The following is a 15,141-nucleotide window of genomic DNA, read 5'->3' as shown; positions in this document are numbered from 1 at the left end:
TTTGTCCCACTCCTTTCAGTGAGGTTTTCTCACCTAATCCTAATATAGTTAATTTCATTTATCAGAGTCTGTATTCCATCTAGGATTGCCCTACTGTTTTTATTTATTCATTTGTTTTAATTTGCATGTAGTGACTTTCAGTTTTTATGGCGTATAGTTCTATGGTTTTGATGGGTGCATAGAGTCATTTATATGCCTCTGCAGTACATACAGAATTGTTCTATCACCCTATAAATTCCCTATGTGCTTCCATGTGGTCAGCCTCTACCCTCCTCAAATCTCTCTAACAAATGCTCATTTGTTTTCTGCTTCCATGGTTTTGCTTCCTCAAGACTGTTACTTAAGTGAACTACACCATGTACAGTTTTTTGGATCTAAATTTCCTTTGTTAGAAAAATGAATTCATGTTTCATCAATAGCTCATTCCTTTTTATTGCTGAGTAATATTCCATTGCATGGATGTACGAGAGTTTGCTTATCTGTCTACCTACTGGAAGATATCTCGGTTGTTTCCAGTTTTGGGTAATTATGAATAAAGCTTATGTACAGGTTCTTTTGTGGACATAAGTTTTCAATTCACTGGCCAAATACCCAGAAGTGAGAGAGCTGAGTTTCACTGCTGAGTAATACAGTGTTTGTTTTATTTCATAGGAAACTGGTAAACTAGTTTCAAAACTGTCCGTACCACTTTGCATTCCCACTACCAGTGAATGAGGATTAATTAACTTTCTATGTGGCATCCATATGTAATGCCACAATGTTTGGTATAGTGTTTAATGTATTTATTTATCATCATTTCTTGTTGAATCCCTATGATGTATCAAGTACCATTCCAATGTTCTTTGTAAAATTTCATTCAGTTGGAGGGGAGAGAAAATAAACATGATACAATTAAATACTTTTAGAAGGTGATGAGTGCTATTAAGAATATTCTTCTGTGATTGAGATGAATCACTTTGAAGAATTACAGCCTTTATAACCACTACCTTAAAATTTAATTTGCCCCACTGACTAAGAACTTAATAAAAATTCATGAGACCAATGAATGTGTCATAGGTTTTCTGAAATGATGCTTTGACAATGTATTGTTCAGAGAAAATTCAATAAACGATAGTCTTTCACTGGATCTCTGATTCTAAAATCTCTTGCCTGCACAGCAAGTGAACAAGAATATCTCGGAGTGAGCCCAAGCATCTTTGTGTTTTATTTTCCTTTAAATCTAATGTGTAGAATAAGGAGTAGGGAAACAAAGGGAGAGAACTAGAGATCAGAAATATAATTTGTCAATGGCTATCTAAGGTAGACCCTGCATTGACTGAAAGGTGACTTTTAGAAAATGTCTGCATTATCAAGAGAAAAAAAATTTAATTGGGTTTCAAATATTCCTTGTCTTTAGAAATGGAAGATAATCTTTTTTTTTTTTTTTTAAAAAAAAGAAAACTATGAGTTAGTTTAAAAGACATTATTTGGAGAAACATAGAGTAGCATGCATGGAAACAGGACTGAACTGAATAAACATTCAGCTGTAGGAGGTTTAGGAATTGATTTTCACAATATTGAATTTATGGTTCAATAATTTTCCATTGGGATGGAGGTCATGGTTTTGGAGCAATTTCCCCGATACTATCACATTTCTCTTATGTGAAAATGCATTATTTACCTAACATAGGAAAAGGCAGACTTCCTGAAACTAGATATTTTAAAATATTAATCATGGAACCTTGCAACAGGGTTGGCAAACTCAGTTCAGTGTTCACTGAATCTAAAACCTAAGCTGGGAACCATCGTAGGTTTCTGGGCGTTCTTAAGGTATTCCATTAACCAAGGTTCCATGATTAATATTTTAAAATATCTAGTTTCAGGAAGTCTGCCTTTTCCTATGTTACGTTTCTGAGGAGATGACTCTTTTAGAAAGGCTGAGCTTGGCAGGAATAAACAAGCTCCACTGGTGATGAAACTAGAGTTGAGGCCAACTGAGTTCTAATAACTTTCATGTGGGCCATTGCTCTTGATATTTACCTGGCACTTTGCTTACTATTGTTCTGCCCAGGCCTTCCATGCTTGTGAAGTTAACATTTGCCTAACCCCATTAAATTATGGAGAAAGTATATGGCTGGCTTTTGGATAGTTAAGTTTAGTTTATCTACCTAAACTTAGATAGTTCAGTAGCTTCTTGAGGAAGTGAATGATTTCAGGGAAAGTTACATTGGGTGTCATTGGAAATTTATGTCTTGCCAGAATTATAAGCAAAAATATTCAGTACCAATTTTGGAAGGCTTTAGGTCATTTTTGTATGGCAGAAACAATTCAGAGATGTCTTGCAGGCTTGGAAGTTTGTACAGGTCCATGTTATTTTCCCCATGGAATCATAATTCCAGGAAACTGAGCTCCAATATCACTCACTGGCTAATAAGCCCCATAATTGGAGAAGAGAAATAGACAACTATAGGTAAGGCAGGACAGTTGGCTTTATTTAGCATTTCTTTCCTCACAGCTTCTTTTTAGTTGATCAACAACTCATTTCAGATGAATTGAAGTAATGTTCAACTCCTTGCTGTTCTTTTAAGCTGGCTTTATCTTTATGCACACAATTTCAATAAAATGACTACACTTCTCCTGTCAAGATATGAAAAGATATATAGTAAAACACATGGGCACATTTTTGTAGGAAAGATAGATACATTCATATACATGTATGTGTCTATGTATGTACGTGTGTGTGTACGTGCTTTGATCTGGTTTTGATTTTTTTCCTTCCCTCTGTTGGATAGAATACTGAAGTCAGAGCTTCTGTTCTTGCCTAGGGTCCATGGCATCATTAAATAGTATTGTTCTCAAAGCCCAGAAGAACTATGCCTGGTAAGCAGGGAAAATAAATGAAGTTTTGTTTGTCATATGTTAAAACAGACCACAACAATGCTCTAACAGTAGGACTTGCTGAAGAAATTGTACTGTAATGAATATTTGTAAAATATTTTAATGAAGTCAATTATAGTTAAGTTCATTTAAGGAAAAGAACTCAAAAATGATTAAAGAAAAGTCTAGGTTTATTTAAGTGAAGGTCAAGATTTGGATCTTGGGCAAATACATACTCTTTTAATTTGTGGATGAATCCCCTACGTAGTGAATAAATATCACTTTTGGTGACAGAATTAAGGCTGGTTTCTCTGATAGCTGTCAGGATATGCCAGAGTGCATGCATGTCTCAGCGGCTATCTGTTGAACATAGTCCTGTAGGCGCTGTACATGTATATGCATTGATCTGCTTTGCAGCAGCTCCACCTATCGGTAACAAGCGGCAGAGGACGGACCAATGCAAACTGGCTTCAAGGCAGATTTCAAAAAGTTTGTTTGTATTGTTCATCACTGCTAGAAAACAGTGGGACAGGTGATCATCGTCTCTTGAACCTCACACTGCAAGCTCCCCAGGTCCAGCTGAGGAAGTTGTCATCGTGTGTTAGTTTAGCGCAGGCTCTGGGAATTAACTCCATTATATGCAAAAGGACAATGAGAGGATTTTGCAGGCTAAATGAACAGAAATGCTGCCTGGGGATTCCCAGTTTCATGTTGCTAACAAATATTAACAAAGATTTTCACCCTTGGGAAACCCTATCAGTAGCCTTCTCTTTTTTCTCTCTGTCAGGTGTTTGCAGGGAAGGAAGTTTGGACCTCCTTAAAGGTACTGAGCTTTCAGCATTCAAATAAAGAGTTCTATTCTGTAGCAGTCTTTCTGGCTTAGGAATTTCAGAGGGCTTGATGAGCAGGTTGCACACTGACATTCCACAGCAGAAAACTGTCCACCCACCACGTCTTAGGCAGGGTGATACAGTTGTATAGATGGTTTCTTTAGTGGATGCTTGACAAGGCATTATGGCAGTGTTGACATTGGAATGGAGCTGCTTTGCAGAAAATTCAGAAAAACACATTGACTACCAATCTTTCCTTAACTTTTCATTCCAAATGTAACTGGAGTCTCTTGTGATTTTTTTTTTTTTTTTTTTTTTTTGGTGGCAGGTGAGAAAAGAAAGAGAGATAATTAACAATATTTGTGTTCTAATTTTCTTATGGATAGTTTTAATTCTACCTGCTCCTCCTAATTACCTGCCTACTTCCTCCTCCCCCAGCCCAGCCCAAACTCAAAGTGAGTGGAGAAGGAAAGGCTATGGGTCATTTTGGTATTCCACGCAGCCTACAGTCAAAGTTGATGGTGAGAAGCAGAGAGACTACTTTTGCTTCTCCTTAACATGCTCTCCCACCCCAAGTTGCTACAGGCTTACTGACACTATTTAACCACGGTTCTCACCATCATTTATTTATTCATAGTTAAACAGCCTCAAGGATCCCATGGAAGCCCCTCACTTACTTTCAGTTCTTCTTCATTGAAATCAGATATGAATCTAAAAACCTGAGACAAATAGACAGGCATGAAGGAAGCAACTTTCTTCCTTCCAGTATGTATAGTAAACACAAACAGCAAAATGGGTAAAATAATAGCAGACTACACCAGGGCACGGAGTAGCAAAAATTGTGAGTTAAAAATCAGACTTGACATTTAAACTCCATTATTATTAATGCAGCATGAATCTTTTCTTGTCTTTTTTGTTATTTCTCAGAACCAATTCTAGAACCATGTATGCTTAATCATTCAAATCCTGAGCAAAATAATATGAATCACAAGATGATTTCCCTTAGTATCGTCCCACCAAACAATTCCTGTTCAATCAAAATACATCAAGTGTAGCTTGCTGGACTTAAGTGCCTTGATCACCATTGCAAAAGTAAAAAACAAAAAACAAAAAACAGCAAAGGCTGAACATATAACAGAGAGCGAAATTAGCCAAACTAAGCAAAAGAAATGACACCCCTCCCCCAAATAACACTAACATGAATATTTCACCGTATGTTCTAAAGTTTAAAACAAAGCAAAAATGAATTATTATTTGAATATTTGAATAATACATGAAGCAGACCACTAATTTCTGAAGGAGATTTTGTACTCAAAGAGTTTAAACTCTACTGAGGAAATAAGATATCTGTAATATTGAAATTAAATGAAAGAAGAATGTATAGTAGTAGTAGGTGGTAATACAGAATATATATGAGACAGAGATTAATTAGCAAATGAGTGATACACCATGCTATATGAGTTTATAAGAAGGAGTGGACGATGATTGTCTGGAAAAGCATAGAAAGATTATTTTGGCTTTGAAAGATACAATAGAAACAATTATATGGTAAAATGATGACCCTTTCCTAATTCTTAATTGAACTCTCCAGAGGTATTTTACTTTGATCTCTTACGCATTTTCTAGGGTAAGTGGTTTATGCATCTTAATTCAAGAACAGCCTAAAATATATCATAAAATATGAAAAAAGGTAAAAGGCAGCTTTGAACTCCAACCTCTTCAAAGAGTTGAAATAAATGAACAACTGTACAAAAAACAGCAACAAATCTTTGATGAGTTGGAATATACAGAGAGAAACCATGAGACTCTGTTTTGAAAGCACAGATTATACCATGAGCCATTTTCATAAACACCAGTGCCAAGCAACATGTTTCATATGGAAATCATGTTTGACATTGCTTTTGTACATTCATTCATTTCCTCAATCATTTCCTGAATGTTTATTGTGTCCTTCTTTTAAGGATAAAGCCTGGTCTAAAGAACTAGAGAATAAACACTGGAAAAAGACATTGCTACTTGGCTTAAGAATCTCTCAAAATAATGGGAAGACAAGCATGTTCAGAACTAAGTTTAACCATATGGCCAGAGTGTTACAAGTACAATGGATAGAAGAATCAATTTTGACCTTGGAATTACAGAACATACTGTAGAGGACATCTATGACTCTGGGGCTTGAAATATAAGTAGAATTTTTACAGCAGATAAAAAAATCATAATTCTTTATAATTATAAACTTATAAATAGAAAAAATAAAGTGATGGAGAAATAAAAGTGAATAGCTTGAGTAAAAAGCTAATTGTTTGGGAGTACCAAAAATATGGAGAAGACAATCGCCATAGAACCTTGAAGGCTGTGTTAGAGAATTTTGACTTTACCCTTACAGTATTGACTTTACTCTTAGAGAATTTGGACTTTATCCTTCCAGGTACACGTATACACATATATGTATGTATATCTTATATGTATGTTACATATATACATGTCATATATGAGAGAGTTATATATAATACAAATATCTATCATATATATTCACATATCAGTTTAGATCATCCAATTGTTGCTTGAGTCTTACTGATCATACAAAAAGAACATAGCTGGGCATAAGCCATTTAGAAAGCAAAAATAGAACGTTATGTATTTATTCACTAAACAGTCATAGAATTATTGCCAGTCAGACTCTGTTCTCGATGCAGGGAGTATTTAATGGCAAAAAATTTACTGAAATTGAGAGGGAAAATAAAACAGGAAAAAAAGTTTTGTTCCTTTTATCTGCAGCCTGAAGTGAATGCCATGTAAAAGACCAGCAGGAAGTACTTGAAACTTCCAATTTTAAGTCTCCGTGGTAAGTTTTCAAACAAAAAAAAATCAGTCTTGTTTATTTGAGTAGCAGAACTGTTTTCTGGGTTTTTTTTTTTTTTTTTTTTTTTTTTGGTTTGTTTGTTTGTTGTCAGAGTTTTGCTCTTGTTGTTCAGGCTGGAGTGCAGTGGCTTGATCTCGGCTCACTGCAACCTCCGCCTCCCAGGTTCAAGCAATTCTCCTGCCTCAGCCTCCAGAGTAGCTGGGACCTCAGGCGCCCGCCACCACGCCCAGCTAATTTTTGTATTTTTAGTAGAGATGGGGTTTCACTATACTGGCCAGACTGGTCTCAAACTACTGACCTTGTGATCAGCCCCCTCGGCTTTCCAAAGTGCTGGGATTACAGGCGTGAGCCACTGAGCCCGGCCTTTTTCTCTTAATTCGAGGAGAAAAATACGCTTGAAAAATATATGCACTAGAAGCAAGATAAATCAACATCTTTACGATTGAAGAATTAGTTGGTTGCAGACAGCGTTTTATGTGCTGTTTCACTACAACTTTAATTAACTTCAAACAAGGAATGCATTCTAGCTTTGCTCTCGTTTTCATGTGACTCTGTATTCCGTATATGCAATGATTATACCATTAAATTCTATCCTTTGGGAAATCAACCTGACATTGTTCTGAATTGTCCATTGAGTATACAAGACATTCAAGTTCTTAAAATTGTAAGGAAGGCATGAAGAGACTTTTGCCTGCTATGTCCTGATTGGTTGCTACCTTATTCCTTCAAGCCAATACCATTAACAAGTTCAATTAAGAGAGCTGACATCACGGTCAGCGATGGGGGCTGATCAGACTGAAGAGAAATAAATAGGACTAGGAATGTAACATTATGGCTATATTTATTATTTCTAACATGATTGCAGTTTTTCAGGGGGACTTTACAAAAAGAATTAGAGTTGTGATATTCTTTTTTTAGGAGGATTTTTTCTTCTTTCTTTTTTAAGTGTGTGAGGTTTATTCAACTTTCTTTGTGTTATACATACATTCCTATGCTATCTGTGGAGTTATGATTTATTAAACACTTGTTATGTGCTAGACAATGTGCTGGGTGCTTTACAAATATTACTCTTGTAATCTTCACTATCATCCTAAAAGTGAGTTATCATTATCCTCATTAACAGATGAAAGACATATGGTTAATAAGTGGTAGAGATGCTATTTAAACAAAAACTCTTAATATTCCACTCAAAGACACTTAATAATCACAAGGCTACATAGCTTACCAGGGACCATACATTAGGATACTTAAAGAAAAGGCAAAACAACAACAACAATAAACAACTATTAAACTTGAGTCAGATGACCTCATGGAGTGCCTTTCTCCCTTATTACCATCTGAGTCTAGGGTCAGCTTGTGAAAAGATAAAGGAAAAATGTGCCCAGTTGGGTTTGGCTGCAGCTGGACACTTGCTTACCTAGGAAAGGAACAAATTTCTCCCTGGGTACTTCACCTTCAAAGCCAGCTTTTTGTAACTCTGAAATATTGCATCACTAGAACAATGCACGAGAAGCTCAGAACTGGTAACAGCCTGCCAGGTCCCTGCTCCAAAATCAAAGTCTCTCCAGCCCTCCTACTGTGAAGAAATCTGTTATTAATTCTCATTGTGATTTTCTAAGGTAAAACACAGATGCATGCAGTTCAACACTGCAAGTGGCTTTAGAAAAGGTCAGTAATTGTCCCACCTGGCAAAGATCACTCACAAATATAAATTGTTTTGGCTCTTTGTTTTTTTTTTTTCAATGGTTGTTTGCGAGCAAAAATTCATCACTGTTCCTTCATTCTCCATGGATACAAGAGACAAACAATAGTCACATGGCCAGCCTACTGTCTTTGGAGACATCCACCCTCTTGCCCCTCCTCCCAGATTAGGCACCCAGCATCTTGGATTTGTGAGCATAACAGAGTGTGGGGGTGTGAGTCCATGTTATATTATTCCAAAAGAGAGTTTGTGATACAGAGGAAGAAATGTCAGCTTCTTCAGCCCTGATCCTTTCTGACCTTTCACTGTTTCTGTGAACCACCTCCTTTACTCTAGAGAATAGGGAAAGAACTGCTCTAACCTGAGATTTGAAGACCCAGGTTAGAATTACAGCTGCTTCACCAAATGTGTATTCCTGGGGTGGTCACTTGGCTACGCTGAGCCTTAGTTCCCCTGGCTATGAAGTCAGTGTTATAATGCTTACCTTACAGGTTTGTTGTGAGGATGAACATGAGAGAATGCAAGGAAAAGAACACTGTGATCGCATAAAGCAGGACTGTTGTGATATTAACAGCAGTGTCTTCAGGGAGGCATGCGCAGTCCTGCTTTTCCCTTGCCCTGGCAGGCTTACCTGGTCAGGGATTCAGATGCAAGTAGTGGGCAAAGAAAGGAGGGAGGAGGTTGATATGAGGCTGGTCTGATAACTGCTGCTAAAAGAAGTCAGGGCCTAAAATGTGCAAATATCGCCTCAGTTTTCCATAACCCCAAGGCCAATCTTTAACATAACCCATTATCTTTTTTCCTTTAGACTTCTAAGGCTAAAATGTTTTCTAGCTTATAACTCTAATGCTCTTTTAGGTTTATTTAAAGCATGACATATGTAAATATTAGGCACAGAATGTGATTTGAAGCAAGATTGAAAAAAAATTAAATTTTCTTCATACTTCCTAAAGATAACTTGGTGCCCAATGTTGATTTGAGACATCCTTAGGAATAAATAAATCAAATACTATCTTCCTTCCTTCCTTCCTTCTTTCCTTCCTTCTTTCCTTCCTTTCTCTCTGCAGCACTTTTTCTCTTTTATATCAAGGGTGTAAGGTTAAGTTTGTTGGAGCATTTAAAAAAAACAATTCTGCCTGGATGTCACTAAAGATATTTTAATTATGAATCACTTACTGAGAATTTGCCATTACTGCTGGTAGGTAAATTTACATATTGACATTTTACTTGGACAAGCCAAGGATTGGTAAGAAACTGAGTTATAAAATAGGTGAAGAGCTGTGGTTTACAAGTAGTTTTTATTTTGTTGTGTCACTGAAACTCCAAATATGCTCTTTTAATATAAGACTGTAATTGATGTCACAAATGGCTCAGATTTATTAACCCAAAGAAGACACAGATTGTATATGTTCAACTCCCATAGACCAGTGCACAAATCTAAAGAAACTCATCATATGTTTTTGCTTTTTATAATTTATTTTGCTCCTCTTTCTTCAGCAATGAGAAGAGTTCCTTGCAAAAAAAAGCCCCAAACCAAAACCAAACCCTAAACACTTCTCTATTTGTCCCTAACCAGCAGGGAAAGAGTTTTCTTCAGTCAGTGAGACCACAGAGAACATCTGGCTGATTAACAGATGTTAATGCCAGAATAGCTTTGGTTTGATCAACGATGTGATCAATCATGAAAGTTATAATTTTAGCAAGGTTTAGACTGTTCCATTAAATAAAGATGGAACATGTCTGATGTTCCAGATTTTCAGAAAAAAAAATATTTCTCCAAAAACAGTATTTTCAGAACATCTGCCTGCATATAATTTTAGATGTGATTTTTAACATGTCCATATGGTAACTACCTTACCTAAAAATGAAATTGGGGAGAGGGGGGAAGGTAAAGATTTATTTTTTCCTTGTGGTTGGGGGAGGACACAAGTTTTGTGCATTATTAATTTTATGCATTGAAGAGACAGTAGGGAAAATATAGACTGAAATACTGAGATTCAATTAGTTTATTTAGGAGGAAATTGTTTAATGGATGTTTTATGCTTTATGCATTCATATTACAGTATTTGAATGTGGATTTTACTTTTGTCTTCTTTAACTGGTTAAATAAAGAACAAGAAAATAGCACAACAGAATGAAAAATTAAAGAGAAGCCAAAGCAAAATTAGAGTAAAACAGTCAATGGCCATTATTCTACAAGAGGAAATTATGATGCCAAAGTATTAGTTAAAAAAAAAAGATGTAATCTAAAAGCAAGGAAAGAATAAAACTCATCAGAAATATGCCAAGGGAGAAGGAATGGAAGATGGAAGAACAAAGAAAAATAGGCAAGGATTATGTGGAAAATTTTTACAAAATGAATTTGCAGAGGAGATAAATTACTTGCTTACAAGTTGGTGCTAAAAAGGCAGGAAAGGGCCGGGCATGGTGGTTCATGCCTGTAATCCCAGCACTTTGGGAGGCTAAGGCAGGCAGATCACCTCAGGTCAGGAGTTCGAGACTAGCCTGACCAATATTATGAAACCCTGTCTCTACTAAAAATACAAAAATTAGCCAGGCATGGTGACATGCACCTGTAGTCCCAGCTACTGGAGAGGCTGAGACAGGAGAATCGCTTGAATCCAGGAGGCAGAGGTTGCAGTGAGCTAAGATCGTGCCATTGCACTCCAGACTGGGCAACAAGAGCAAAACTTCATCTAAATAAAAAAAGAAAGAAAGAAAGACAGGAAAGGGGACTAAAGTCCAAGGACATGTTTTTCAGAAAATTTCTCAGATGGACAATCTAGCAGAACTGATTACTTCCCATCATAATAAAAAATCTGAGGTCTACTGGGTGGATCCACAGAGATCATATTTCAATTAGTCAAAATGCTCAAATTAATGTAATAACAAAACTTTTGAAATCAGATAAGTGGTAGCCACTTTCTATTTGTTACAATAAACTCAGTTGTGTCTCTTAATCTAAACTAGTTTCATTGTATATACAACCAGAAATACAAATGAAAATCTCTCTAATAGTACTGGTACATCAAATGGATTGTTTCTTACATTCTAAGAATTTTATACACATTAAACTCATTTAAACAGCACAATAACATGTGGAAAATACAATTATTTTCACTGTTTATGGACAGGAAACAGAGGCCCAAAGATTAAAACCCACCCCACATTCCAAGGCTAGTACATGAAAGAATTAGAATACAAACTCAGATACGCTCACAACCACCATGCTACAGTGATGGTTTGTAGATTTATGTTAAACTATGGCTTAAAAAGAAATTTGGAAGCATTTTATGCATAATTTTTATTATAGTTTTAATGAAACCAAAGCAGGAGATGGCCAAATTTTATTCCCCCATGGTAAGAAATAAAATACATCCAAACCAACTAAATAATTCACTTCTCCCTCATCCCTAAGGATCAAACAGATTAAACATACTCTGAAATAAGACTGTTTTTGCTACTTCTCTTATTAAAAAAAACTCTTTGAGAATAAACCTTAAGCCTAACATTTCAAACATTTTGATTAAAAAAACAATTTTCTAATGTCAACCAAGGGTGGTCCTCTCTATAGCCATTCTGAAAAGGATACTTAATCATCTATACTAGCAAAAGGAACCTTTTAAATCTATGAAATATAATAACATGAAATGTGTCATATCCTGTTCTTTTATAAGTTCAAAATTAAGAAATATTTTCTTTCCTAGAAGTACTAATTATTAAAAATAACCAAATAAATAAGCTTTCTAGTTCATTGGTACCAAATTTACTTGCTTTTGAGAAAAGAAGGAAATAAAAAATAACAGTACAATTTAATTTTTCTTCACAATAATTTGAATTTTTTTATTAATGATATCACATGCATTAGTCAGAGTTCTCCAAAGAAACAGTACCAACAGGATATATATGTCCAAGAGAGGGATAGAGAGAGAGAGAGAAAGAGAGATTGATTGGGTTCAGGATTGGCTCATGCCATGATAGACACTGGCAAGTCTGGTAAATCCAAAATTGACAGGGTAGTCCAGCAGGCTAGAGACCCAGAGAAGAGTTCACATTGCAGTTCAAGTCCAAAGGCGGACTGTGGGCAGAATTCTCTATTTCTGGAGAGCAGCATTTTTTTTTCTTTTAAGTTCTTCAACTAATTGGATAAGGCTCACTCACAATTTAGAGGGTAATCTGTTTACTCCACATCTACTGATTTAAGTGTTAATCTCATCTAAAAAATACCTTCACTGCAACATCAACAGCAGCGCTTGATAAAATATCCGAGTACCACAGCATAGCCAAATGGTCACAAAATAGTTTCCGTCACATCAAAAAAAAATTATAAACACTGTTTTTTTCTGCAAAGAGATGCTGACCTTTGATATCAAAATCTAGAGCCAGTAGATACACACTTAATATGCAATATTGGAGTTTACAATTTATTTCTATTACACATACAAAAATATATCTGTCAGTTACATATTTCTGATTTTGGGGGTCTAGAGAGAATGTTGGTACTCAAAATAGAAGAGAAAAAGAGTTACTGGTCATACTTGAATGGTACATTCTATGCCAGCCTTGAGATCTGTGTGTGTCATTGCTGACTATCTGAGATCACTTTACAATAAATATTTTTTGGTTACCATAGAAACAGAACCTGGAAGAGGCCCAGGATAAGGACACCATATTCTGAATATCATTGTAGAGTGATGTGTGCTATTTTGAGGGATGGGTAGGGAGCACTTCCTGTTGAGGAGCGCCTTTTATTGCTTGCGGTGTTTTAGAAAGTTAACATCCAACCTGCAATCTTTTATTATTTTTATGTGACTTTAAAAAGCTGCATTTCTGTGGAGCTGCAGGGCTTTTGAAAATGAATTCAGCTGGCACATTGAATTGGGATGTAGCAAGATGGATGGCAGATTCATATTCCAGTGCATCACATGACTTTCATCAACTTAGTGTGTCAGCTAAAAAGTTTAAGGAGAGGGGGAAAAATCAGTTAAAGAAATTTTGTCTCTGTCAAAACTGAGTTTAGGGAACCTGCATTTATTAAAGAAACTTTATATTGTGAATTGCCATAGAGGTTTTAAAGCCTGTTAATAGGGTGATATTTCAGTTTAAATTTGGATGTCAACACACTTCGTGGCTCAGATTTTGGACTACCATTGTGAAGTTTAAAGCAAAAAACAAGGAAGAGTGAATGAAAAGTGATGGATATGTTAGGGTTGTCCATAGTTTAAGATATGTATATCCTGACTGCTATCAATTGGAGAAACAAAACTGCAACAATTTTCTATAAAAGGTAGTTCTGTTCAAGCAATACAGAAAGCAAGACTGCATGGATTTTTCTAATATTTGGGTAATATTTTAAATGAAAGAATAAATATAAATATATTTGCATTTATAAAAATATTGCATTAATATTACCTACTACATGCCAGATACTATTCTAGGTATTCAGAATAGAATCAATAAAGCAGAAAATCTTGGAGCTTTCCTTTTTGCAGAGGTAAATAAGAAATGAACCATAAATATAAGAAAGATGTATAGCGTGCCAGAAGGTAATTAGCAGGGTTAAATAATGAAAAAATTCAGCAGGATTGCAGAGATTGGCAGTGCCTTGGTGGAGTTGGAGGGGAGGATTGGTTGCTTACATAGGTCTCACTGATAAGGTGACATTTGAGAAGGGATTTAAAGTAGGTGCTGGAGTTTTCCACTTGGTTAACCAGAGGAAGAATACTCCAGGAAGAAGGGAGAGCGAGCCTGAAGCTTCATGAGGGAGGGGGAATAGTGTGAGATGAAGTCACAGGAAGCTAGATTAGGAACATCCTCGAGGCCAATGCATTGAATTAGGTTTTGATTCTGAGTGAGAAAAGGAGCCATCAGTGGGTTGGAGAAAGGTAGTGAAATAATCGAATTTATCTACTGAAGAGATGACCCTGGCCGATGTGTTGAGAATAAACTGTAGAGGGTAAGGTGGAAGCAGGGAGATATAGGAGGGATCTACACAAGACAGAGATGCTGGAGACCTACCCCAGGGTGACGGCTGTGGAGTAGGTGAGAAGTTGATCAGATTCTGGGCGTAGTTTGAAGTTAGAACCAATAGGCTCTTTTGGCAGCCTGGATATGAGGAGCAAGAGAAAGAGACCAGTCAGATATAACTCATAGGTTTTTGGTTTGGGCAGTGGAAAGATGGAATTGCCAGGAATTTACTTGGGCTAAGCTGCAGAATGAGTGGTTTGGTGGAAATGAGCAGTTCAGTCATAGATGGCTGAGGTTGAGTTATCTACCGTTTGACCATATACGTTGTGATTTAGAGGATGCTTCTGAGCTGCGAGTTGGCACCATGTAGACAGGACATAGATCAGATAACATACAATCAACAATACTTGATGATTTTGGACTGAAAGTAATAGCAGTTTCATATGATACAATCTTATAAAAAGCTTTAGAACTGAAACAGATTACCAAGATTTGGAGACAGAAATATAGATATGAAGGATGGAAGCTTGAGAGAGCCCTACATTAGGAAGTTGGAAGAAAAATGAGGAGAAAACAGCAAAGGAAAGAAAACTGTGTTGTCCAGGAAGCCAACTTGAAAAATTGAATCAAAGTGGAGGATGTAATCCTTGATTCACATGCCAGTGATAGATTGTGTAAGATTAAAATTGATTATTAAATTTAACAATATGGAGATCATTGGTAACCTTGATAAGATTTTGTGTTGGTGGAGTACGGGGGTTAAAGCATAATTTGAGTAGTTCCAAATAATACAGATGAGAGGAAAATTGACAATCATGCATACGGACAGCTCTTTTAAGAAATTTGTCATACAGAAGACCAGACGAATGAAGTGTCTGGAGAAAGAGGATCTGAGGCTTATATGGTTTGGCTGTCTCCCCACCCAA

At 36.2% G+C, this 15,141-nt stretch overlaps 1 annotated feature.

Moving 5' to 3' along the window:
• Window positions 3,212-3,291: a silencer, noted in NCBI's record as "silent region_19104". NCBI's record gives its function as "represses an Ori minimal core promoter by ATAC-STARR-seq in GM12878 lymphoblastoid cells {active_cell/tissue: GM12878}" and the evidence as "EXISTENCE:reporter gene assay evidence [ECO:0000049][PMID:35858748]".

Source organism: Homo sapiens, chromosome 8 (assembly GCF_000001405.40).
Source record: "Homo sapiens chromosome 8, GRCh38.p14 Primary Assembly".
Taxonomy (NCBI): Eukaryota; Metazoa; Chordata; class Mammalia; order Primates; family Hominidae; genus Homo; species Homo sapiens.
This window is presented reverse-complemented; position numbering and strand designations above follow the sequence as displayed.